The 26,420-nt window shown below is 42.2% G+C and overlaps 1 protein-coding gene across 8 annotated transcripts in view, besides 7 other annotated features; it reads left to right on the top strand.

Annotated features, from left to right (window-relative positions):
• Nucleotides 843–1,043: a silencer, noted in NCBI's record as "peak5980 fragment used in MPRA reporter construct". NCBI's record gives its function as "represses an SCP1 promoter by STARR-seq MPRAs in K562 erythroleukemia cells {active_cell/tissue: K562}" and the evidence as "EXISTENCE:reporter gene assay evidence [ECO:0000049][PMID:32103011]".
• The window catches only part of FAXC (failed axon connections homolog, metaxin like GST domain containing), a 78,896-nt gene continuing 63,621 nt past the window's right edge, over nucleotides 11,146–26,420 (top strand). For 2 of the 8 annotated variants that reach the window (NR_144463.2, NM_001346531.2), the window contains exons 1-3: nucleotides 11,146–11,186; nucleotides 11,974–12,095; nucleotides 18,169–18,304. Coding sequence is in view for 6 of the 8 variants with exons in the window: in NM_001346531.2 (NP_001333460.1) it covers nucleotides 11,989–12,095; nucleotides 18,169–18,304 (243 nt within the window). In the remaining 2 variants the exon portion in view is untranslated. Of the gene's footprint in view, nucleotides 11,187–11,211; nucleotides 11,472–11,527; nucleotides 12,096–18,168; nucleotides 18,305–26,420 lie in introns of those variants that run through there. The other 6 variants (NR_144464.1, NM_001346532.1, NM_032511.4 and 3 more) reach the window with 4 other exon arrangements.
• Nucleotides 11,179–11,258: a silencer, noted in NCBI's record as "silent region_17416". NCBI's record gives its function as "represses an Ori minimal core promoter by ATAC-STARR-seq in GM12878 lymphoblastoid cells {active_cell/tissue: GM12878}" and the evidence as "EXISTENCE:reporter gene assay evidence [ECO:0000049][PMID:35858748]".
• Nucleotides 11,319–11,368: a silencer, noted in NCBI's record as "silent region_17415". NCBI's record gives its function as "represses an Ori minimal core promoter by ATAC-STARR-seq in GM12878 lymphoblastoid cells {active_cell/tissue: GM12878}" and the evidence as "EXISTENCE:reporter gene assay evidence [ECO:0000049][PMID:35858748]".
• Nucleotides 11,439–11,498: a silencer, noted in NCBI's record as "silent region_17414". NCBI's record gives its function as "represses an Ori minimal core promoter by ATAC-STARR-seq in GM12878 lymphoblastoid cells {active_cell/tissue: GM12878}" and the evidence as "EXISTENCE:reporter gene assay evidence [ECO:0000049][PMID:35858748]".
• Nucleotides 12,690–13,254: an enhancer, noted in NCBI's record as "H3K4me1 hESC enhancer chr6:99795824-99796388 (GRCh37/hg19 assembly coordinates)". NCBI's record gives its function as "activates a minimal SCP1, AML or CMV promoter by ChIP-STARR-seq in naive H9 embryonic stem cells {active_cell/tissue: H9 hESC(naive)}" and the evidence as "EXISTENCE:reporter gene assay evidence [ECO:0000049][PMID:30033119]".
• Nucleotides 14,145–14,645: an enhancer, noted in NCBI's record as "H3K4me1 hESC enhancer chr6:99794433-99794933 (GRCh37/hg19 assembly coordinates)". NCBI's record gives its function as "activates a minimal SCP1, AML or CMV promoter by ChIP-STARR-seq in primed H9 embryonic stem cells {active_cell/tissue: H9 hESC(primed)}" and the evidence as "EXISTENCE:reporter gene assay evidence [ECO:0000049][PMID:30033119]".
• Nucleotides 14,646–15,146: an enhancer, noted in NCBI's record as "H3K4me1 hESC enhancer chr6:99793932-99794432 (GRCh37/hg19 assembly coordinates)". NCBI's record gives its function as "activates a minimal SCP1, AML or CMV promoter by ChIP-STARR-seq in primed H9 embryonic stem cells {active_cell/tissue: H9 hESC(primed)}" and the evidence as "EXISTENCE:reporter gene assay evidence [ECO:0000049][PMID:30033119]".

Genomic DNA, 26,420 nt, shown 5'->3' with positions numbered 1-26,420 from the left:
ATTCAGAGGCAATGGCAGACGTCCATATCTTTATTCACTCAGCACCCTTCTCTCTCGTCCATTGAGTGAGTAGCTAACCTGCTTCCAGACTCAGCCCAAATATTGCCTCCATGAACCCATTCCTGACCCAGCTTTCTGACTCAGGTAGAACTGATTATTCACATCTTAGAGCCACCCTTTTCCTCCTCTACCAGCCCCACTCTGTTATCCTATATTTATTCTATCAAGTGTTTATAACATCTTAGTACCCTTAATTCTTTATTAGGAAGCTCTTTGTGAGTAGGAACTGCATGTCTTATCTATATATTTCTAGTGTAATTTCTGGCACATACAGCCACTATTAAATAAGAGTTGAAATGAATAAATACTTGTCTTATGAAATCCAGCCAAGAAACATATATATAACATATAAAATGAGATCATTTTTACACGTGGTGTAGGAACACAATCTCCAAGCCCATGGTGATTTCTGTCAACTTTTAGATATTCTTCTTCCCTTTAAGCACTGTCTCTACTCTTTTTTAACTGACCTATTCAGTCACTCAAATGGAAAATTAAAAGCACTCGCATTGCCTACAACGTAATAATTGATTCAGGCAACGGTCATCAGTGAGAGCTGTCAATCTAAAATAAGCAACAGAGAGGCTGACTCTCCAAAACAAAGAATTTACTTGGGAATAGCAAGAAATTGCCATTCAGAATGCGATTCACCATAGGCACATACAAAGAGGCTGGGGCAAGGGGAAGTTTTTAAGTGAAAAAAAGGAGACATCCATGTAAGCTGCTTTGAAACAAATCCATTGGTTACAGAGGCTTGTTGCAGGAGTTGGCACTGGCTTATTACTGGAGACAGCCATTGTTAGGTGAGTGTCCTTTGCAAGTGGCTTATCTGGAATAGTGCGGGTTTGAGGAATTTCTTGCAATAATTTCTGTTACAGATATAGGTGTGTGAGGGCTCCTTCTTTGTGGCTTCTCAGCTGCATTTTGAAAGAATATGACTTAAGTGACTCAATTTTGATACTGATAACTTCCACAAAGTTAAAACCATTGATATAAAAATTGAGGGGAACAGGATGTTTATTGGATGTCAAAGTATCACCCAACAGATTACTTACTAATTCCAAATGAGTGTTTTTTTACAATGGAAAGATTAAATTTAGCATCACTCATAGTGGGATTGCCTTACACTATGTCCTCCTGATATGATGCAATATGAAGTGCATGATATATCTATGGTGTGTCCTTGCTAAAAAAAAAAATTTAAATCTAATTATGCTTCTAGGCTTAAGTTTCCAGAAATATAGGGCAAAGGGAAACACGTTAAAATAAACTATAAGGGGAAAGCCAGACAAATCCAAAATGTGAGGCATTCTACAGGTTAACAGGCCTAAACTGGGATGTAGGTTAAAAGTGACCAATGCAATGCAAGACTGGATTCTAGACAGAAAAAACAACGGCAAGAACCAAACAACTAGAAAATATGTTCGAGACAATTGGAAAATTTTGAAAATGGTTTGAATATGTACTGGATATGAGATAGCATTATGGAATTATATATTTCCTTGTGTGTGATAATATTATGTTTATGAAAGAAAATGTCCTTGTTCTAAGGAATTGCATGCTGAAAAGTAAAATACTTGCAACTTATGTTCAAAGGGTTAAAAAAAATGAAAACAGGCCATGTTGTTAGTACCTGATAAGGGGCAAATGGGAATAGTCAGATAAAGAGAGACAGATGAGATACTTTTCAGAACTTTAAGTTTCTGAGAGTGTGTGTCCCCGCTTATGTAGAAACACAGAGGAAGTAAATGTAGCAAAAGACTAACAGTTGATGAGTCTAGATGAGGGCACACAGGCTACTATTCCTTCAACTTTCCTATTAATTTGAAAATTTTCAAAATCAAAAGTTAGCAGAAAATGTTAGTGAAATTATGATTTTGAGTTGGCCAAGAAAAGAATTCCTACATTGATTATTGTCTCTGTGTCGCATATTCATTTTAAAAAGAATTCATGATTGGCCGGACGCGGTCACTCACGCCTATAATCCCAGCACTTTGGGAGGTTGAGGTGGGCGGATCACCTGAGGTCAGGAGTTTGAGAGCAGCCTAGCCAACATGGTGAAACCCCGTCTCTACTAAAAGTACAAAAATTAGCCAGGCGTGGTGGTGGCGTGTCTGAAGCCCAGCTACTCGGGAGGCTGAAGATGGAGAATCGGTTGAACCCAGGAGGTGGAGGTTGCAGTCAGTGGAGATTGTGCCATTGCACTCCAGCCTGGGCAACAAGAGTGAAACTCTGTCTGAAAAAAAAAAATTTATGGTTACTCTTGGCTATTTACTGTAATCCTTTGGATTTATGAAGTGCCAAATCTTGTGCTAAATGCTATGCATGTGCAATCTCACTTAATCCTCACAACAGCATGAGGTAGAAACTATTGTTAGCTTCATTTCTCAGAAATGTTGAGTGACATTGACATGTTCAGCATTACACAGCTAGGAAGACAGAGCCAGGATCTGAAGCCAGGCAGTCTGATTCCTGAGCCTGTGCACTTCACCACTTTTATACTTGTATCTAGTGTCCATGCCATCATATAGTCATAGCAGTAGCATAGCCATGCACAGCTGGATTATTTTAATCACATATTTGAATTGTCTGTATGCAAGGCAGCATCTTCAAAAATATTGAAATCAGACAGAACATCAGCAAGCCTGAGTCTGGGCTCTTGACTCAGTTCTCTTAAAGATTAATTCCCCTTCTATGATTAAAACAACTATAAGCTACTAATTGCAACTTTATAAAAATGCTTTAAATACCCTGCATAAAATTATATCCTTACTCTCTGTATTATACTTAGATGTTTTACTATTATATTAGTGTTAAATTGAAGAAAAGCATCAAGTTAAAATATAACACATTGAAAGTATCTTAGTCAAGCACAAAAGTCAAAATTTTGGACACTATTTGAAATAGCCCTTTGATGTATTCTAGGGACACTCAAGAGGGCTTCTGTGTTACTACTGGCCTGGAATAGATATAACATTGAGAAGCATCAAGTTTTAGAGACTGTTCAGTAACCAGGCACAAGCTCAAGTCATGCTTACTGGGAATATTTTTTAAACCTGGACTGCGGAGGTCCCCACAATTCCATTTAACATATTTACATTATTATAGGCTACAGAAAGAGGTCTGAACATCTAAGAAAATGTCAATGTAGAAATAAAGATGGAAACGAGATGAGATAAAAGTGTTAGTATAGTCAACACATAATTGTTTTGATTAACTTATGATGTTAATTAACTTACAATGTGACTCTATTAGAAGGGAGATTCTTACTTGACAATTACTGATGAGATGCAAATGACATACAAACTTTTTCTGTATCAAAAAAGCTGACACTGACCGTTTGCATGAAAATTAAGTAAAAAAAATGGATTGTGAGTTCAATAAACCTCTTGTATCTGAGGAAAAAAGTGATGCGGCACGTATAAAGAACCGTTGTCTAGGAGATAAAAGGCACCAGTTGGACCCAAAGAAAAAAAATATGTTCTCAAGATGATGTGGTGGCAGAGCTAAGAATGGGAGTAGAGAGTTTCAAGGTAAATATGGGCATGAGATGTTCCCACTTCAGCTAGATCTGAATCCTTGTTTCTCATTGAGGAACAGAACCAATGGATGTAGAACTCACTGATATCTCACAAGATCTCCATTCCTTTCTTGACTTTAAAACAGGCTTGGTGTTTGTCTCTGTGCTCCTTAGATGACACCTTTTCCTGAGAACAATCAGTTCAAGTGCAGGTCATTGGTGTTCCAGGGAGCCACCAAGTCCAGATGGTTGTGCCATTCCTATAGCCTGATAAGGATCTCTGCTATCCCTAGTCGTTGCCCAACATGTAGACACCCCATAGTGATTCTTTCCCAGAATCTCTCCTTAAGAGTGTTTCTTGAATGTTTCTTGCCTAACTCCCATTGATCTTCTATACTTTTCTGCTACAACCCCTATAAGGCCCATTTCATGATATACTAATTACCCTACCTTCTCAAGTCCTCTTTGTAGTGCCCTTTACTTCCTACCTCAACTGAAACCTGCTGTCCTATGAGGACATGATTTCACCCGGAGGAAGTCCCACATTTTCTATGAACCTCAGACTTTGGAGATGGGCTTTATGTCCTCTTCACTCACTGCCATTACTTTTGGGTAAAAGCTCATGCTTCTCCAAGTTTCAGGTCTAGCTCTCCCATCCTCTACTCCTCCTCTGTTCCAAACTCCCACTTCTGGTCACACCCCTCAATCACAGCATCTTTTTTCTTCTACTCTCCCTAAGTCTTCCCATATTCATGAATAACTCCTCTGTCCTTGTGGATGGTCTGTGTCCTATCTTGTCAGCAACAGACTCTTATCTCTAGAGGCTTCTACCTTCCTGGTCACAACTGACAAAGACTCTCTCCTTGACCGAATTTTAGTCAGGCTCCACTAAGCCTTCTTCTCAACTAAGCCTCAACATTTGGACTTCTGTGTCAATGTTTGCATTGCCCAATTTTAGAGAGAATTCTGCTAAGTCAGTTTAGCCAGATTCTCCCATCCTTGATGTTTGATCACCTTCAGTATCTGATCAAATTTCTCATTTCCCATGTGGCATCTGATCACCCAGGGCTGTCTTCATCAGGAATCTTGTTGGCCAGTTTAGCCTTCTAGCCTTGATGTCTTCTCATAGTAATTCTCCATCCTCTGACATCTTCTCCCCTCTCCCTGCCACTTTGCTGTAAATCCTCACTTTTCCTTGTTGTATTTGGAGTTAAGCTCAATCTTTCTCCCCTATTGCAAAGCCCCATTGAAGTAGTCCCTTGAAAAAGGTTTTCTTTACTGCCTTTAACAAGTATCAGAATAATTTTTTCTTTAATACACCCCAGCATTTGAGGTCACCCCGGAACATTGAAATAATAGATTTGAGCATCCCATTCAGAGGATGAGACCACTCTAAAACTATAATAGAAAATCAAGAAGCCATAGAAGAAAAAATGGAAAGAGACTGGGGCAGTGGCTCATGCCTGTAATCCCAGCACGCTGGGAGGCTGAGGCAGGTGAAACGCTTGAGTCCAGGAGTTCAAGACCAGCCTGGGCAACATGGTGAGATCCTACCTCCACAAAAAATACAAAAAAAAAAAAAAAAAATTAGGTGGCCGTGGTGATGCCTGCCTATAGTCCCAGCCACTTGGGGTGGTTGAGGTGGGAGGATCGTTTGATAATTCAGGGAATTATGTGAAGTTACCTAAGCCCAGGAGGTTGAGGCTGCAGTGAGCCGTAATCATGCCACTGCATTCCAGCCTGGGTGACAGAGCGTCTTGTCTCAAAAATAATAAATATGTAAAATAAAAAGAAAAAATGGAAAGATAACAAGCTGGGGAAAATATTTGCATCACTTTGATTTATAGACCAAGAGTTATTTTTCTCTATTAAGAGCTCATATAAATAAATACATATATAAATAATGCCAAGTGAAAAATGAATAGTTCAGGACCAGGTGTGCACATATAATTTCAGCTATTCAGGAGACTGAGATGGAGGGATCACTTGAGGAGTTTGAGTCTAGCCTGGGCAACATAGTGAGACTTGACGCTTAAGACAAAACAAATGAGCAGTTCACAAAAAATAGAAATACATCTTTCCAAAAAATGCATTCAACCTTACACATAATAAGAGAAGCACAAATTTAAAACTACAAGGAGACACTGCTTTTTCAAATTAGGGAGGATCAAAACATTTAACAATATCATGTACGGTAAGGGTAGGACAAGGAAACAGACACTTTGAACACTATTGACAGTAACATTTTTTCAAGCTAGTTTCTGCCTCCGCAACACTTAAATGCACTCACTCACCCACGAAGGTCAGTAATGTCTGCCCTACTGGCTAACTTTATTTTACTTGACTTTTTGGGAGCATGTGACACTATTGATCCTAACCCTAAATTTCTCGAAACTCCCTATTCCCTTCTGTGGCTCTGACACCCTCCCACTTGTTGCTCCTTCTCAGTTTCCCTCTTTCTTTGCCCATTCTCTAAATATGATGTTCTTAGGGTTCTGTTCTTTGCCCTAGCAAACTAATACACTGTTCAAACTCAAAATGTTCTACACTTCTCACGATTCACCTTCTCAATTGCCTCTCACTCATCTGAGCCTGGTTATTATTTGCATATCTTTTCTCAGCATCAAGTTAATCTTACAGGACATGCTTTCTGAGAGTTGCATAATGGTTTATAAAATGCTCAAGTCCAGTGGATCAGAAAGTATATAGGCAAAGCACCTTATGGTGAGAGGTGAGAGACTGGCTTCCAGCTATAATGTTAGTTAGGATTCAGAATTCTCCTATGGGCTGGGTGCAGTGGCTCATGCTTGTAATCCCAGCACTTTGGGAGGTTGAGGCAGGCAGATCACGAGGTCAGGAGTTCGAGACCAGCCTGGCCAACACAGTGAAACACCGTCTCTACTAAAAATACAAAAATTAGCTGGGTATGGTGGCAGGCGCCTGTAATCCCAGTTACTTGAGAGGCTGAGGCAGGAGGATCGCTTGAACTCGGGAGGCAGAGGCTGCAGTGAGCCGAGATCGCCCCACTGCACTCCAGCCTGGGCAAAAGAGCTAGACTCTGTTTCAAAAAAAAAAAAGAAAAAAGAATTCTGCTATGCCAGGTGGGTAGCTTGGTGTGAGATGTCTTCTCCATAAATCAAGCCAAGAAAGCAGAAGTTTACAACAAAATTCAGAGAAATATTATCAATTAAATTACCTACATTTGAATAACATAGAGATATTTTAATGCAATAGCATAGTAAATGTTACTATGTAAAAACCAGCAATAGTGCCACATCACATCCACTTATTACTGTAGGAGCAAGGCTTTAAATCTCTTAAACTTGATTTTAAAACATCAAGTGTAATATCATTCTGATAAAAGATGATTAGGATAAATTAAATTTGTAAATTATTTTGTTCATTTGTTTATGCTGTTTGTATTGGTGCCTGAAAAATGTTCCATGATATTATTAATCACCCAGGTAGTGAAACAGAGACATCATAAATTGCCTATTCTCTGTCTTCTCTCTTATCTCCTGTCCCCTTCCCTTACATCTCTCCTTCCCCATGACTTCCTCCCTCAGCTCCCAGCACTTGGGCATCAGGTCAGTCTCTCAGAAGAAATACACATTACTTTCTGTTCTAATTGTTCTTCTAGAGTCTTGATTTATTTTCTTCCTATTTCTCATTCTACTACTGCCCCAAACTTATCTGCAATGTATGATGTTCAAACTAATAAAAGGTGGTGACTTGATTGGGTTGATTAGAAACCATCTAACATGGGGTACACCTGGTGGGCAGAGTTCTTGATCTTCCTCATAAGCCAGTGGTATAAACAATTGTTACACAAACTGTGGTCTGGTATCACCTGGAAGCTTGTTAGAAATGCAGACTCTCAGGCCCCACCCCAGAACTACTGAGTCAAATTTTGCATTTTAACAATATCCTCATATACACGGTAATGTTTGAGAGGCCCACACTCAAAACATCCTAAACTTTTCTCACCACCCACCTTCTCAATTACCTCTGATCTAATTGTCTCTTGTTTGATCGTCATGACAGAGCCCCAGGTGACACATATGTACTTTAAGGTTTGGGAAACACTGATTTAGTTGTCCTTACCCAATTGTCTTGGCGAGGCTGTAGACCCACATGACACAGGGCACGCCGATATCTGCATAATAAATTATCTGAAGCTACCTTTTTCAGGTGACAGTATAACCTGCAGGCATTGGATGCTTTGTAGTCATTCAGTTGAGACAGTTGAAAACTGAGCCCCAGACTAATAGTGTAAAGCAAGAATACCATGGACAGCGCTCCAGCACTCACTGTTCTTGGTGTGAGACCCTTGTAGGTCAAAACCTTGTCCAACCTGGCGGCCCAGGACGACTTTGAATGTGGCCCAACACAAATTTGTAAACCTTCTTAAAACATTATGAATTTTTTGCGATTTTTTTTAAAGCTCATCAGCCGTCCTTAGCGTAGTTTAGGTGTGGCCCAAGACAGTTCTTCTAATGTGGCCCAGGGAAGCCAAAAGATTGGACACCGCTGATGGAGGTGGTGGAGCGCCCACAGGGCCACTGGTGTAAGACATGCTTGGATCCATCATCACCTCACTCTGGGAATTGAACTTGTTAATTGTCCCCTCTGGGCCTTAGTTTCTTTCAGTTGTAAAATTGAAATGACAATACTTATCTAACATAGCTTGTTACTGGAAAAAAAATCACTATACAACACAAACAGGTGTTCAATCAATATTAGTTCCTTCTTTTTTCTTGTCTTATAACAACTCAATTAAAGTTAGTTAACAAAAAGTCCTTGAAAAAGAAAAAGAAATTGCCTCTAGTTTGGAGCTAATGTCCATGCGTACGGCACCAAAGCTGTCAAAATTAGTGGTGGTGGTGGTAGAAGGGGTGAAGTAGAGATGCCTAGCCTAGTGCCCAGAGTCTTCAAATTTTCTCACTAACTATAGGAGCCTCAGGAGGAGAGCTGGGGTGCAGACATGCTCAGCTCCTGCACCTTCAGCCTCAGTAGGGAGGCCCTGCATAGCTGCTGTGGCTTCAGCCTGTGACTTGGCTCTACACTAGGGATTCTGAGGAGCCATTCTTTGCAGAATCAGCCTCCTTAGCAACTCTTGTTAACCAAGCTGTGTTTGGTTCCTTTCTACTGAGTTTATCCCACCACCACCACTCCTCTGGGGCTGAGTCCCTTGCCCCTGAGCCTGAGTCTCCCATCTTTCTACAGCTGGCTTGCACCCCTTTGTGGAGCAGCTTTTCCCTCTGAAACTCAGTCTGTCTTTGGATGAAGATTTGGCTGAGGATTGCATCAGTCGGTGCCTTTACAGCTAGAGCTGCTTTCCTTGCTCCCCAAAGGTTTGTTCTGAGGTTCTTCTTTTTTATTTCAGATGGAGTCTCACTCTGTCACCCAGGCTAGAGTGCAGTGGCGCGATCTCAGCTCACTGCGACCTCTGCTTCCCAGGTTCAAGTGATTCTCCTGCCTCAGACTCCCAGGTAGCTGGGGTTACAGGTGCTCGACACCATGCCTAGCTAATTTTTGTATTTTTTTTTTAGTAGAGACACAGTTTCACCATGTTGGCCAGGCTGGTCTCAAACTCTTGACCTCAAGTGATCTGCCCACCTCCCAAAGTGCTGGGATTACAGGCATGAGCCACCCCACCATGCCCGGCCTGTTCTGACATTCTGATACCAAATATTTGTCCAACTCAGATTTGTTGTCTCCTCAGTCTACTCTTCCTCTTTTCATCTTATACAGCCCTAACAATAATCATCTTTTCTCTTCTATGCCATGGATCTAAAAGTTAAAATTTAAGATGCATCAGATTAAGATGACATTTTAGTTTCTCTTGTGGAATTTTATTTTATTTTTATTTTTATTTTTATTGAGACGGTGTCTCGCTCTTGTTACCCAGGCTGGGGTGCAATGGCACAATCTCTCCTCACTGAGACCTCCGCCTCCTGGGTTCAAGCAATTCTCCTGCCTTAGCCTTCCGAGTAGCTGGAATTACAGGTGCTCGTCACCACTCCCGGCTAATTTTTTGTATTTTCAGTAGAGACGGGGTTTCGCCATGTTGGCCAGGCTGATCTCGAACTCGTGACCTTAGGTGATCCACCCACCTTGGCCTCCCAAAGTGTTGGGATTACATGTGTGAGCCACCTGTGCCCAGCCCACATCTGCTTCTTAAAGATGTTCACTGCAGTGTCTCTAAAAATGTAAACCATATTTGAACCAGAGACCAGATGATGCTCAACAGTTGTCTGACACTACCAGGAAGCAGCAGTGGGCCCCTGGCCTGCATGAGTGGGTGGGGCAGGTCACTATGAGTGAGAGTGAATTGTAGTCAGTGGCTTTCTGGGATAAAAATACTACACTTCCTCTGGGTTCTAACTTGTTTTGGGCATAAGGTTTGTCAGGATTGACTCTCCCTTTTGCCTTCCATATTCTTCCACTTAAGGTAATTTATGCCCATCCCCATGTCTAGACCTAGATATGCAAATAATGTGATCCCAAATATCAAACTTATATTCTTTAAATATTGGCTCAGTGTTCACTGAGAGCAAAGACTGAGTGCTCTGTGGGAAGGGCACAGAAGGAGCATGGAGAATCCCTGGTGCCAGCCCTCCTTGTTCCCTCTTCCAGAGCACTGCAGCTTTGGTCCCAGACTTAACTACTCTGCTTCTTGCCGACAAGGCCAGGCAGCCTTCTGGCCTCTCTCCTTGAAAGACCGGCTGGTGACCACCTCAGTCACCCCAGGAGGCCGTTGGGTTTCACTCCTTGCAACCTACTTATGGGAGCCTCACTTAGAACCACACACATTACTTCTTCCTGGGAGGTCACATTTTCCCAGGAGTGTTTGGGGAGTCTCACATGCTGGTGCCTAGGCATCAGCTGACTAGCCCCTCCCCCCGTCTCGTTGAGGCGACACGTCCATATTTATTATTTATTAACAAGACGACCACACTCCTTGCCTGTTCTAAGGGGCGGGTGTGTCAGGAGAGGAAAAAAAGGGGGAGTCCTTTTGCGCCTCAATCTCTGCTCCATAGGCAAGAGCCTGGAGGTTTCTTTTACCCATCCTTCCACCTTGAGAGTGATGAACCTCCACGGCCCGAATCCTTTTTCAGTTCTTCCAAACAATTTAAAACTATCCATGCTCTTGTTAAAATCTGTGCATATATTACAAGCTTCTATTCTTTGTACTTATGAACTTTAATAAATGAAGTTAAAGGAAAAAAATACACTGAACACACACACAGTTGTTAGACAGATTTTCTAAAACAAAAGAGGGACCCCCGTCCCCCAACCGAAACCCTGTATCAGCGAGTTCCCTGATAGTGACTTCAAAGAGGAAAGACTTGAACTGGGTTTGTCAGAGAAATCTCTCTAGGTAGAGTATTTTGTTATTTGCCAAACCAGACATCTCGTCTCTGCGAACACCTGGTCAAGCCCGAGGTAATTGTGTAATGTAATAAGAGTGTTTTTATACATTATGCAAATACGCAGCGCTTTCCTGATGGCCAGAACAATCTGATTCCCGACTTTAATCCTGGCCCACGCTCCCAGCCCCCGCCTGGTGGCGTCTCCTGCCCGCAGCTCCGCGCCGCCCCAGGTGAGTCCTGCGCGTTCCCTACTCTGGGGCCCGCGGGAGGGGCTGGAGCGCAGGCGGAGGGCCGGCCGGGGTAGGGGAGGACCGGGATCCGGGCCCCGACTGCAGCTTCCTCGCGGTGGGGCCGCATTTCCAGGCACCTCCGCCGCCCTTGCCCGCGCGCGGCGAGCGGTTTTTGGGCGTGCCGCCCGGAGGCGCGGAGCCTGCCCGGCGCGCCTCAGCCCTGCAGATCCGGCCCCGGCGGAGGCGGCCGGACCGCGGAGATGCGGGGAGGGGGCAGGGCGCGGGGTAGGTGACTTTATCCCGCCTCTGTTTCCCTGCCCCGGGGAGCAATGACATCACGCGGCCTTCTCCAGGCGCCGACACAAAGAGCGGGGCGGAGAGGCAGCTGCGGGGGGAGCCGGCGGCCGCTGCTGCCGCCCAGGGCTCTGGGGCCCCGCCGGCCAGGCCCGCCGTCCGCGGCCAGTGCCCTTCCTCCTCCTCCTCCTCTGCCGCCGCCTCCTCAGTCGCCGCCGCCTCCTCAGTCGCCGCCGCCCGCGCCGCCCGCGCCCTCCGCGCGCCTCTGAGCCCGCGCCGGGCCGCGCCGGCCCCTTCCCATGCGGGCGGCGCGGGCCCTGGGAGGGGCGCCCGGAGCCAGCCGCGCAGCATGCACTGGGGGGTTGGCTTTGCTTCGTCCAGGCCGTGCGTGGTGGATCTGAGCTGGAACCAGAGCATCTCCTTCTTCGGCTGGTGGGCCGGGTCCGAGGAGCCCTTCTCCTTTTATGGGGACATCATCGCTTTCCCTTTGCAGGATTACGGTGGGATCATGGCAGGGCTGGGCTCCGATCCCTGGTGGAAGAAAACCCTTTACTTGACCGGGGGAGCTTTGCTGGCCGCAGCTGCGTATCTGCTCCACGAACTCCTGGTCATTAGGTGAGCCGGAGAGAGGGCCCCGCACAGGGGCGCAGAGAGGGGCACCTGGCTAGGGCAGGGCTGGCGCGAGAGGGGCCCGTGCCAGCCCCTCGGTCAAGCTGCCCAGATGCCCAAGCGCCCTGCAATTACCTTTCCCTAAAGGCATTTGTGGTCACCTGGCCGTGAGGGGCAGTTTAGAGTTGAAAGGAGAATTAAACCGGTGCTGGGAGGGAAAAACATTTGTCTCCCAAAATGCTCTGGGTCACTTGTCGTTATCTATTAAGAAATGGCCTTAGGAGGATCTAAGTGCAGTGTGTTTGCAACAATAGAATTGGGCCCTGCAGAAATAGGTTACACTTTTATGAAATGCCTTGTTTATAAGTAATAATGCTGGAATATTAACTGCTAACCTTATCTTTTACCTAAAGGTTAGTTCTTCCCTAAATGTCAACATCAAAAGACTGAAAAATTGCAAAAGCTCCAGAAACCTGCGGGTCCCTGTTAAAGATGCATGACCAAGTGTAGTGGTGGGCAGCTTTGATGCAGCCTTAACCTGGTTCTCTGCTTATCTGGTATTGAACGCCAAGCACCATCTTCAGGCTTAGATGTCATTGTTGTGTGAGCAGTAGGACAGGCTAGCACATGGGTGTGTTGGGCACAACACGGAGTCGCCCAGTGCCGTAAACAGTTGCATCCGCTGCCGCAGAATGTTTACAAGATTGAGTTGGAAATACCAGAAAATGGAGGCCCCTGCTGTTGGTACATCCAGCCGGGACGAGATTTTTGTTTGGGTAGAGTAATACCACAGGGCACTGAGACAGTCGTTTGGCTAATTGATACATCAATTAATGGTTAAAATTTCCATGCATTTGAGCCTTCCGTCACTGGAAGATTACCAGAAGCCCAGTTTTCAATAGCTCAGAATGTCTCTTTGCCAGTATTTTCTAAAGTGAGAGAAATGTGTCCACACTGCCTTATTCCAGTGGAGGAATCCTACACAATAGGTTATAAACAAAGACAGTGATAGGTGACCTGTACTAGCCTGCAGGGATCCCAGGAGATTATTGTGATGGCCTAATGTAGGCATTTGGCCTAACGTACATATTTTGAATAGTTCCCATCTCTGAAAGGGTGGGAAATCATTTAGGTTTGGAGAAATGTATTGGTTTTCATATTATTTAGCCATATTTGAGGAAGTTTATTTTAAGCTTGTTGCACATTTAATTCTCTCAACACATTGCCTTGAATCTAGCTGAACCAAACAAAAAAATTTAAAGAGAATTATCTCTCTAGATTATTTGTTAATTGTGCTAGTTTTAGAACTGTATTTCAAGTTAGATTTCAAGCTACCTAAAGAACTAAAACATTTGGGCAGTAATTTAAATGGTAACCCAGTTGTTTCTCAGTTGTATTCTAGTCTAAAGCCTTTGAGGAGATCCCAAACCATGAGGCTTCTCAGCAGTGGAGGGAGTGAAGGCTTCACAGGACCAAGTTTAAAACAAAGCTTAAATGACCTTGCAGAAACAGTGTGGAGCTCAGCTGCCACTCCGGAGTAGGCCCTGCCCTGGCAGGTGTTGTCACTGGAGACTGGAGAGCTCTCTGCCCACAGATAGCTACTAACTCATTTAGGGGACTATATACCTCAGCACTGGATGCTTATTTGGACTAAGGAGTTTAATCCTAGGTTGATTCACACTTTTTCTTCCTTTTTTTTTTTTTTTCTTTTGAGACTGAGTCTCGCTTTGTCGCCCATGTTGGAGTGCAGTGGCTCGATCTCAGCTCATTGCAACCTCCACCTCCCTGGTTCAAATGATTCTCCTGGCTCAGCCTCCTGAGTAGCTGGGATTACAGGCGTGCACCACCGCGTCTGGATAATTTTTGTATTTTTAGTAGAGATAGGGTTTCACCGTGTTGGCCAGGCTGCTCTTGAACTCCTGGGATCAAGCGATCCTCTGGCCTCAGTCTGCTGAGTTGCTGGGATTACAGGCATGAACCATTGCACTTGGCTAATTTTTTTTTTAACTTTTTTGTGGAGATGGGGTCTCACTATGTTGCCCAGGCTTGTCTCAAACTCCTGGCCTCAAGAAATCCTCCCTCCTTGGCCTCCCAAAGTGTTGGGTTTATAGGTGTGAGCCACCATACTTGGCCAGTTTTGTTTCTGGACAAATGTTTGAGTTGAATTAGAAAGCTCTGAAGTAATGCAAACAATAAAAAAGGGCTATTTCTGAATACTTAGTAGGATGGGCTTTGCATGTGTGACTGCATTTATTCCTCACAACTGTTGTTTGTTCATTTCATAGATAAGGAAATTGCAGCTCAGGGAGGTTAAGCAGCTTGCCCAAGATCACACAGTAAGAGTAGTAGGATCTAGATTCAAATCAGAGCCTGCAGTTTTTAACCACTGCCTCTTAGAAAGTACCTACTTTGGCCCGGCGCGCGGCAGCTTACGCCTGTAATCCCAGCACTTTGGGAGGCTGACGCGGGCGGATCACGAGGTCAAGAGATCGAGACCATCTGGCCAACATTGTGAAACCCCGTCTACTAAAAAACAAACAAAAAAACCCCACAAAAATTAGCCTGGCGTGGTGGCACGCGCCTGTAGTCCTATAGCTACTCGGGGAGCTGAGGCAGGAGAATCGCTTGAACCCAGGAGGCGGAGGTTGCAGTGAGCCGAGATGGTGCCACTGCACTCCAGCCTGGCGACAGAGCGAGACTCCGTCTCAAAAAAAGTACCTACTTTGAAATCCGTTTTGTTGGAGGAAGAGGAAGGAAGAGAAATGTGGAGAACTGAAGCATTGCTCAGGGAAGACAGACCTGTATCAGGTGCCTTTCTTGCAGCGTCTAGGGGAAGAGGAGTGGAGGGGCAAAGGGAAAAAAACCAGGCAGGAAGGTCAAAGACCAAGGCTTTAGAGGTTACATGATAACTACCTCCACTTAAGGTGAAATCTAGGTTTCAATAGTCTTTATAATTTAGGCAGAAAACAAAACAAAATCTGAAATATGTAAGATAGAAAATACACCTTAAAATGACTACCCTGAGTTTCTGGCTATTGCAAACTCTTCCCCAGCCTACTTGGATTTTCTGCTGCATAGACATAACCTTAATCTATGACTGTGTCTCTAGAGTGGAAGAGTAAAGTTGACAGGTGAGAATTACTTAGGAAGTTTAATTAATGAATATAACTGAAGTAGGTTTTTGGGGTTTTATCCATGTTTTTTAGCACCATATTTTAAAATAAATATTGTTCCAACACACTACTTTGTTTTCCCTGAGTGGAGATAGCTTGGCAGCTATCTTAAATTCAATCAGGCTTTGGAAATTTTTGTTTGTAAATTGAATGACTAAGTACTAACTTCATTACCAGTGCTTATTTGCACTTTTGACACACGGGCTCAGCCTCTTCTAGAGCATTTAGTTGGCGAATCAACATCTGATCTCTGCAAACTAACAAATCATCAGCTGTATACAGAGGCATGTTCATCTGTGGTATCGTTAGCCCCGGGAATAGTAGTAAACTAGCTAGTTAATGCTCTATGGCTGTCCTCTTATATAAACCTTATGGTAAGATCACTTTATAAAATATAGCTGTACAGGGAACAACCTACCCAAACCTCTGATCCTAAATTAGAGAGGAGTTTCTGACATGTTGGAGGGAGGGCTCTGGTGCCAGACTGTCTGCGTTCAAATTCAGACTCTGTCTGTAACCAACCACATAACCTTGGATATGACAGTAAGCTCTTGATGACTCAGTTTTCTCATCTGTAAAATGGTAATAGTAGTAGTAGCTTTTCTCATAGCATTGATTAAATGAGATAACACGTGACATGCTTAGAACAGAGTTTGTCAAGGTGAAAATTCAATAAAACTTGGCCATCATTAGCTGTGACTTTTATCAGAAAGTTTCAGGCTTCAGTGGTCTAAGTCAAACTGGCAGTTTTAATACGATTAACCGAGGAATTGCCCATTTTGGTGACCTTGAAGTGCTTAAGAGCATGGAAACGAGTTATTTCAGAGTCAATCTTAAATTGATGTTCCTTAGGCAAGTTATTTAACGTCTTTGAGCTTCAATTTTCTTATCTACTATAAAATAGTATAATATGATATCCCAAATTTAAACTGTAACAGTACCCATTCTAAAGTGTCATTGTCAGAATTAAATAAGTTAACATATATAATATATATAAAGTCATTAGCATATGCTTGGTAGATAATTAGCCTCCATTCTTACCATGACATGGCCCAAATTAACAATTAGAATTAGATCGTTCTGGCTGATGGAGCAGGGATTTTTTGTTTGTCTCCTCTCCTGTCGGTTCTGAAATTTGTGTCTGTTAATTTACATGAAAATACCACTTTGTGATGGGAATTATTTGACTGGACAAAATCAGTTAATTGTCAGATCTATAGTTTGTGCTGTCTTGGAACATTGTCTAAATGAGTTCTTGATTTTAATACCTGACTTCTCGAACATTCCATTTAAATGAAAACATTTCTTTTATAGTTAATATTGCCAGAAAGCAGCAATTTTTTTTTTTTACTTGACATATTTTCAAAATGAGTCATTCTGTACTGTGAAGTTGAGTGGGCCCTTGGGTGGTAAACTTTTCAAGAGAGTTTGTTTTACTAAATGGGGATCTGCAGGAAGTGGGCATCCATGTGATGAAGATACAAAGAGCTTGTTCTTGCTTAGGTAGAAAGAAGGGGGTGTGGTGTTGTACTGGGAACAATGCGAGGGAACCAGAGGCTCAGGCAGGGCCAAGGGGAAGGAAGAGTGAAGTTTATCTGACTAGAAATCAGCTGGGTCAAATGAAGATGGAAATTGCAAAAGGGTCCCGAGGAGTGGGGTATGAGTGGGGCTGTGTGGAATGATGAGCTTGCAGGGATGAGACCATATCTCTTTGGATGGGGATAAATTCCACTATTACTTAATGCTTGATAGTTTACTAAATAGTTACAGTATTACCTTATGTAATCCTCATGATAAACCATACAGAATTGGTACTGTCCTCACTCTTCAGGTGAAGATGGTGGAGAGATCTAGGCTAACGTGGCCAGTAGGAAGCAGGGCTTGGATTTGACACCAGTTGTCCAGACTTGGAATCCAGCATTCATTCCATTATGTAGTGGTTATTGAAAAGCTGTATGCAGGGAAGTCCTTCTCACCCAAAAGAGTAGCCAAAGGAAAAGATGGATGTGTGGCTGAGACAGGAGAAAGGGGAAAAGCAGGGGTACTGAAATACATGCTGTGTGGTAAAAGTGGGGATACTGGGAAGGCAGAAAATAAGGAAGACAGAGCTAGAGAGAGAGCATCCAGAAGGCAGGTTCCATGGCATTACAGGTGAAAGAAGGGTTAGGTGAGGGCATGGGCAGTTGGGAAGAGGGACCAGAATTTCAGTCTCAGATTCCCTACAGACTTGGGTCATAGCAGAGCAAATCTGCACTGTTATTCCTGGGTCTTATGGATGAATAGACTGTTTCATGGTATAGTCTAATGGCCAAAACCATGGGCTCTGACTTCTTGGTTGAGTGCCCATTCTGCCATAACTAGCAATGTGACTTTGGGCAAGTTAATCCTCTGTGCCTTAATTTCCTCATCTATAAAACGTGGATAACAGTAGTACCTACTTCATAAGGTTATTATGAAGATTAAAGGAGATAAGACCCATGAGACCCTCAGAACAATGTGTGACACACAGCAAGCACAGAATATCATTTTTATCCATCCAGCTTGTCCTAGCAGGTAAATACAGCCGGCTGGAGAATAGGTGGACCAGTACTAGAAAATGTTCTTGCTGCCCGGAGGCCATAGGTAACAGAAGGAGGTTGTTATGTAGTTACTTTGCTGAGCCAGTGGGGTCATGGTAATATCATGGGAGTTTGTAAGGTTCTCTTGAGTTTTGACTAAGCTTCCATGAGTGCTGGGTGAGGTAAGCCCCTTCGACAAACTGGGTGCTGGGTGATGTAAGCCCCTGTGACAAACAGATCTGCTTGTTCATTGAGGAGCTACAACCCTGCAGGGTCCTCTCAAGAAATAAGGGAACCGAATGTGGATAACATGTGGATTGTACTTTATTTCTGTTTTGGTTTTGACAGGAAACAGCAAGAGATTGACTCTAAAGATGCTATTATTTTGCATCAGTTTGCAAGACCTAACAATGGTGTTCCAAGTTTATCTCCTTTCTGTTTAAAGATGGAAACTTATTTAAGGATGGCTGACTTACCGTATCAGGTACTTGTGTGCAAATATGTTTTCTTTTTATGACATCAGTATCAGGGGATGAGTATTTAACTAAAGGGGGGAATATTTCGTCTCACACAGTGGATGCCAGAGGGGATGGGAGCTGAAACTAGCAGTGCCTAATCCTTAGTAAGAGGGAAATAAAATACTTGATTCCAGGGTCTGTTGATAATGATGGATCAAAAAGGTCTAAACTTTTGAGAGATTCAGCGCCATGATATTTTTCTTTAACAGAGTATTCTTTGGGCTGGGCACGGTGGTTCACGCCTTTAATCCCAGCACTTTGGGAGGCCAAGGCAGGCGGATCACTTGAGGTCAGGAGTCTGAGGCCAGCCTGGCCAACATGGTGAAACCCTGTCTCTACTAAAAATACACAAATTGGCTGGGCTAGTGGCAGACGCCTGTAATCCCAGCTACCTGGGAGGCTGAGGCAGGAGAATCACTTGAACCGGGGAAGCAGAGGTTACAGTGAGCCGAGATTGCACCACTGTACTCCAGTCTGGGTGACAGAGCAAGACTCCATCTCAAAAAAAAAAAAAAAAGTATGCTTTGGTTAATAGTTTGGACAGGCCTACTGAGCCTTGACAAAGATGGGTGTGCCACTGCCTGATGTGGTTTTTTACTTTAGGTTTTAGTTTATTGACAGCATCGTATTTTGTCCCTCATGAATCTTGGGGGCAGAAGGCCCAGTAGGCCACGAGGTAGATATTTGTGTATGTGGTGAGAGCTTTTCCACAGCACTCCATGTTCTGTTTGTGTGACTTTCAGGGAAACACTTGTTCATTTTAGCAGTAAATAAGGAAGAGGAGTGTACTTAAAGGTATATATTTCTCTCTGAGTAATGCTTGAGCTGTGTCTCACAAAGTCAACACGCTGTGTTTTCATAGTCATTCAATTCTATGTATTTTTTTTAAAAGTTCACTTATGTTTTTATTTTTAACCAAGTTCTAGCCATATGGAACTATTTTAAGCTTTGATTTTTGTTATCATTTTTAATTTGATGGTCAGAGAAGATAGTCTCTGTGATATTGATTCCTTGGAATTCACTGAAGCTTTAGCCTGGTTTGTAGTTACTTTTTTAAAATGTTGAAAATAATTACATATTCTCTGTTTGGATATAGAGAGCTCTCTATAGATCTACTTGCTTAAACACGTTTAGTGTATTATTTAGACCTTCTGTATTTCTGCTTATTTTTTTGTCTGAAAGGAGCATGTTAAAATATTCAAGTGTATCTGTTGATTTGTCTCTTTCCTGTCATTCTGTCTGTTCTTGCTTTATGTTAGAGTATTTATATATTTTAGGTTACATTGTTAGGTACATATAAAAGTTCACATCTTTTACTCTTGTTTATTTTTCTAGTATGTATCCTCCATTGATGTCTCTTCCTATTTTTTAAAAAACTTGAATTCTGTGTTATCAGATATTGAGATAGATTCTCCAGCCTTCTTTTGGTTCATATTTGCTTAGGATATCTTTCTTCATTCTCTCTCTCTTTTTCTCGCCCTCTCTCTTTTTGTATTTATTTCTCTCTTATATCTAATTGGAGAGTCTTTTAATTGGCAACTTTAATCCATTTATACTTATTGAAATGATTGTTTTATTAGAACTTATTTCTAATATCTTATTTAATATTTTTCTCCTTACTATACTTCATTTTAAATTTCTTCTCATTTCCTGCTTTCTAATAGATATTTTTTCTCATTTAAAACAAATTATATTTTTGTTGTTATTGTAGTTACTCTTAAGACCCAAATTTGTGTTTATGCTTATTAATTTGTTAAATGAATTAAAGTCTGTATTTATTCTGTTATAATACAAACACATTAGCAGTTTACGTGTACCTTGGGTCTCTTCCTTTCTTCCCAGCCCTGATCCCAATTGTGTTGCTGTTGTCTAAGATTTTAATTCTGGAATTTTTTGGCCGGGCACGGTGGCTCACGCTTGTAATCCTAGCACTTTGAGAGGCCGAGGAGGATGGATCCCTTGAGGCCAGGAGTTCAAGACCAGCCTGACCAACATGGCGAAACCCCATCTCTATTAAAAATACGAAAATTAGCCAGGTGTGGTGGTGTGTACCTGTAATCCCAGCTACTTGGGAGGCTGAGGCAGGAGAAGTACTTGGACCCGGGAGGCAGAGGTTGCAGTGAGCCAAGATTGTGCCATTGCACTCCAGCCTGGGTGACAGAACCAGACTCCATAAAAAAAAAAAAAAAAAAAAAAAGGAATTTTAGCAATTCTTATCCTTTCTTTTTTATCCTTTTTAGGCAACAAACTTTAGTATGTTATTTGACTAGCCTTATTTCCCATATATCTTATTATAAAGGATTTATCTTTTTATTTGAGAACTTCCCTGATGAATATCTTTAGAGTGAGTCTTTATGTGGCAAACCTTCAGTGGCTTTGCATGCCTGAGAATATAGTTATTATACTCTCACATTTGATAAATTTATGTTCAAAGTTCTTTTCCTTCTATATTTTAAAAATATTAGGCCAGGCTGGTGGCTCATGCCTGTAATCCCAGCACTTTGGGAGGCTGAGGCTGGTGGATCGTCTGAGGTCAGGAGTTCAAGACCAGCCTGGCCAACATGGTGAAACCCCATCTCTATTAAAAATACAAAAATTAGCTGGGCGGTAGTGGCGTGTGCCTGTAATCCCAGCTACTCGGGAGGCTGAGGCAGGAGAATCGCTTGAAGTGGGGAGGTGGAGGTTGTGGTGAGCCGAGATCACGCCACTGCACTCTAGTCTGGGAGACAGAGTGAGACCCTGTCTCAAAAAAAAAGAAAATTGATGTTAATCTCATTCTTCTTTCTCTTTCTCTCTAAATTATCTTAGAATTTGTATTTAATCTTAATATTCTCAAGTTTCAATATGGCATGTGTTGGTGTGGGTCTTTATATATCCTGTTTGGTCCTTTATAAACTCTTATTATCTGAGGTCTTTCATCTCTTTTGAATTCTGGAGAATTAATTATCAATTTTGTTAAAATATTTCCTTTTCTTTTATGTTTGTTTTTCTTTTCCCTCTTCTTCCTTGTTCCCTATTATCCAGATTTTGGAAACTCTGCTTCTATTTTCTATGTCTCTCTACTCTCTACTTGAATTCTTTTCTGCTTCTTTCTGGAAGCATTCCTCTCTCTGAGCTTCCTTTGCATTGCTCTATGTGTGTTTGTTGTTGTTGTTTGTTTGTTTTTGTATCCATTATGCTATTTACCCCATCTATTGTGTTCCTTATTCCAACTTTTGTATTTTTCTTCTTAATGTTTTCTTTCAGTTTGTATTAGTAATCTCTTCCTTTATCCATTGGAGGATATTTATTATGTTACTTAAATTTTTTGGTCTGTCCCAATAATTCTGCTTCATGTCGTATAATTCAGTGCACTGCCCTTCTCATAGTAGTGGTACTTATCTAGTTATTTTGGTTTGAGAACTCCTTTTACCAGGGATGCCAACTTCTCTGCCTGGGAATTTGTACTGGACGAGGGCTAAAGCCCAGGCCACAGGTCCTGTACCTCTGAGGGAGTTTAAAAAAAGAAAGGAGGTGAGCCTCAGGCATCCCCAAACTACTCTGGTCCTTTTGCTTTGCTGCCATTCCCCCAAATGGCTCCTGCAGCTCCGGGGTTCACCTTTAGACTCTTATAAAGCACCAACACTGGGAGGAGGTATTTTCCTCAGGTTGTAACAGACCAACTGGGAGGTTGGAGGGGGTGGGCTCCCCACTCAGCCAAGCTTTTGCCTGCCCCAATAATGATATTACTCCTCCAGCTCCTGACTCCCCATAGCCTGTGCTTTTTGAGATAGCTTCTGTAGAGAAGAGGGGAAGGGGGTGGCAGTGATCCTTCTAAGGCAATGCTGGGACACCATGGTTGACATGCTTTAGTTTGGTAAGTGCTATAATGCAGGGCCTCTGGGGACATGGTGAAGTGGCACCGAGTCCAGACTTCGGATTGGGGCATCAGGGAGGACATGGGATGTTTGGGAACAGGAAGTGATTAGAAAGGGAATCTTTATAACTGGTAACTGGAATGCATGGGGGGAGTCCAGAGAGAGCAGCAGGGAGAAGATTACTTAGGACTTGCTAAGACAGCAATGGAAGAAACAAGGTCTGCAGCATCTAAATGCATTGGCTCATATTTGAAAGATCGTTGTTCAGCTTGGTTTTGGCAGTCAGCACTTGAAGATGTGTGTCACTTGGAGACTCAAATTGAAGGAAGAGATTGCTACCCAACAGCTACCTGTCTCTATTCCATCATCACTCTTGAACAGATTGCCTCACTTAGCCATGACAGCTTTGGGGCAGTGGGAGCCCAAAACCTGAATTTTGTGCAGTGCTGTCTCTGATTACTTTCAAGAACTTTTGTGCTCCCCCACCTTTGATAAAATAATCCTGTCGTTTGTGGTGGCTGCAGCAGCTGCCAGGCTTTTCTGCACTTTCCTTTCTGCCCTTCAAGCCGTCAAGCCCTGACTGCTGTAGACCTGTCTTTACCTGCAGCATATCTGCCTTTGTTCACATTTTAGAGCAGCTGCCTGTAGTTAGTGTAACTGGAGCAGCAGGACTCATGCCTTGCTGTGAAGCCTGCAGCTATTACAGAGGTCTTCAAGAAGGGGCTTGCTTACCCCTTCCAAAATTATTATTTGTTATTAAGTATATTTTTAAAAAAAGAATTGTATAGGGCTGTTTTTCTTCTGTGAAGTCTGTATGGAAAATAAATGGAGTGGGCAATGCTCCAGGGGTGTGACAGATTTTAGGTAAAAAAAAATGGTGCTGTGGTTTAGAAAGGGATGCTGTGTTGCAACGGTTAGGGGTACCTTGATTCCCATTCCCTTAGTGGGGATTTGTACTGATGCAGTGGGTGTCTGGGGAGTGCTGGGGAGTTCATTTCTTGGATTGATCAGTAGAGAAATATTTTGTCATGGACCCAGGGAGCTGTACCCTTTGCCCCTTCTTTTGCCTGTGCCATTTTAAAAAGATTAAAATGCCAGTGCTCCTCAGATCATGACTTTATATTAGAAGCTCTTGAATTTTTTAACCTAAATGGAATGGGAATGAATATTTGATGACCATTAGTTAGGAAATCAAAAGGCTTATTTTTAAAAAAAGCTCAATGTATTGAACACAGTTATTATTATTTTTCTCTATCAAGATATGAATATTGGTAGTTCAATTTTAAAATCTTTTTATTTTGTAATAATGATAGACTTATAGGAAATTGCAAACAATGTACAGGGAGGTCCTGGGGATGTGGTTAATTTTTTAAAAAACACAAAAATAGCTTTACTGCATTTTCTGATTATGTGTAGATGATATATGGTCCTTAGAAAAATTCCAAACAGTACAAAACAGTGTATGTGGAAAGTGAAAATTACCTGATATCCTACGAGCTGGAGATTATTATCATAACTGATATTTTTGGCTTTTCTTCCTTACATTTCTTTAGACATGTAAAGACACCTACATCATTTGATATAAGTAGTTGTATAAGAAGCATACATTTCACAAAAGAATTCTTTTTAAGTGAGAGAAAGAAAAAAGAAAATGTTTCCTTTGGAGCTGTCTGCCTCAGCTGTCAGCCCTAACTTTTGATGTTGTATTTATTTGCTGACCTTGTCTCCCCTCCTGCCTCTTTTTTTTTTTCCTAAGCTGCAGACAAAAGAATAGTACAGTGCACACCCCCATGCCCTTTACCTAGATCGTGAATGGTTAATGTCTCCTCCTTTGCTTTCCCCACTCTTTACATCTACATTTGTGAACAGTGTTTTTGGTAAACCATTTTAAAGTAAGTTGCAGAAATCCTGACACATCATCCTGCAATACTTCAACATGCAGCTCCAAAAAATAAGGACATTCTTCTTCAAAACTAAATAGATAGTGGGTGCGTGGATTTTTTCAGTGTGTCATAATCCACACAGACTGCTCAAATTATTTCAAATTTAGCCAGTGGAAGATGACTCCAGATAGCTCCTGGGCAGAGTGAATGTAATAGATAGATATTTACCTGAAACCTATGGGTATTCTGGCCAGTATATCAAATCAGAGTCCCAAGACTCTGGTATCTCTCTTAGAGTCTCAAGTTCTTCAAAATACTTCTGATGAAGGCACTGCACATCTTCTCATTTCATCCTAGCAACTGTTATTATCCCCACTCTACAGATGAGGACACTGAGGTCCAGGGAGGGTTAAGGGAGACCCAGGGAGGTCCAGGGTCACTCCGTGAATAAATGATGGAATGAGATTTTGAAATCCAAAGCCTATGGCCTTCACTGCCATGCTAATAATGTAGTATATGTGTGGCTGCATCAGTCTCACCTGGGGCAGACTTGCAGAAGGAAACATCAGCTTGGAAAAAATATGGAGGATTTACCTCTTTATCTTCTCAAAATTACTTTCAGAAACTACCCTCAGTGGATTAGTCAGAGTCTAATTGCTTAAATAAAAATAGTCCAGGAGTTCTTCAATAGATTTAAAGAAGTTAAGAAAAAGTATTATTTTTGGCTGGGTGTGGTGGCTCATGCCTGTAATCCCAGCACCTGGGGAGGCTGAGGAAGGAGGATCACAAGGAGTTTCCTGGGCAACACAGCGAGACCCTGTCTCAATTTTGTAGAAATAAAAATATTTAGGAAAAATTAAAGGGAGAAAAAAAGAAAAAAAATCAACATTTTTAACATACTTTTTTTGGGCCAGGCATGGTGGCTCATGTCTGTAATCCCAGCACTTTGGGAGGCTGAGGCAGGCAGATTGCTTGAGCCCAGGAGTTTGAGACCAGCCTGGGCAACATAGTGAGACACCCGTGTCTGTAAAATTTTTTTTTATTTTAAAAATTATACGACCACATTTAGAGAAATTGAAATGTATGGGAAAAAAAGATCACCGGCATCTCACCTATAGTCTTCCCAATTACTTGTGACATGTTTGTAAGTCTCTTTTTTTTTAAAATGTTTTTTCATTCATCTATGTTTACTTAGATGTAATCAGAGTGTCTCTAAAATGTTGTCTCTTGCTTTTTACCTAGCAATCAAAATATAATTGTTGATCATGAAAACATACTAGAACTTCCATTTACATAAGAATTGATTATTAATTTTGTTAGAAATACCAAAATTGTTAGAAATAGATAATTGGTGCTGCGAAGAAAAGTCAGCATGGAGACAAAAGATCTCTCAGGAAGGCCATCTTTACTTTCTGCAGAAAAGGTGCTCAATCACAGATGGAACAATGGCGAGAGCACACCTGAACAAAGAAAAAGCAGACATATTTATCCCTTACGCATTTGGGTTGTCCTTACTGCTGTGTCCTGCATCCATTGGCTGGAGCAGGGCCTCACAGTCTTAAACTGATGCCCGATTTGCTGATAGCCTAAAACTTTCCTAAATAGGTAAGTGAAAGGAAGAACAAAGAAGTTGCTTACGAAAGGTTTAAGGAAGCAATAGCATTTCCAAATAAGGAAGGGGCATAGGCTGTGAGCTGGAACGTGCCTGTGAGCATGTCCAACAGTTACGTAGGATAGGGCTTAACAAAGAGTTACTAGCACAAAGCAAGGAGGCTTGAAGAAAGTTAGTCTTTAATAAAAAGAAACTATTATTTCTAACACTTATGATTTATTCTTTAACAAGAAGGGGAACTTTGAAGAGGAAATTTTTTACTTTCTACAATTTTTATTACTACTATTTTAAAAAGTAGTCAAGATAAACATGTAACAAGTTATCAGGGGAAAGGGTGGTCTAGAGGTAAGGCCAGATGTGTAAATAGTTACTCTGTAAGGGTAGGGGACTACACACCATACAGTGGAAGCACAGAGGAAGGGCAAATAATGGTTGTATCCTGGGGAAATAATTATGTAACAAGGTGAGATTTGAACTGATTTGTTTTAAAAAGCATGGATATAGGACTTTACAGAGGGTGGAGAAAAGGATTCTTGTAAAAGGTGAAGAGTGCATAAAGTCAGGGAGGTGGGCAAACACCTTGACCTGGCTGGGTAGGGGTAGCTGGAATTAGGAGACCAGAGGGACTTAGATAGCCAATGAGACCGGGCAGGTGGGCAGTGGCTAGATGGTGGATGTGGGTCTAGATTGCTGTGTGAAAAGGGGTAGTTTGTAGACTAGAGCTATTAAA

The sequence above is a fragment of the Homo sapiens genome, chromosome 6, assembly GCF_000001405.40.
Source record: "Homo sapiens chromosome 6, GRCh38.p14 Primary Assembly".
Lineage (NCBI taxonomy): Eukaryota > Metazoa > Chordata > Mammalia > Primates > Hominidae > Homo > Homo sapiens.
This window is presented reverse-complemented; position numbering and strand designations above follow the sequence as displayed.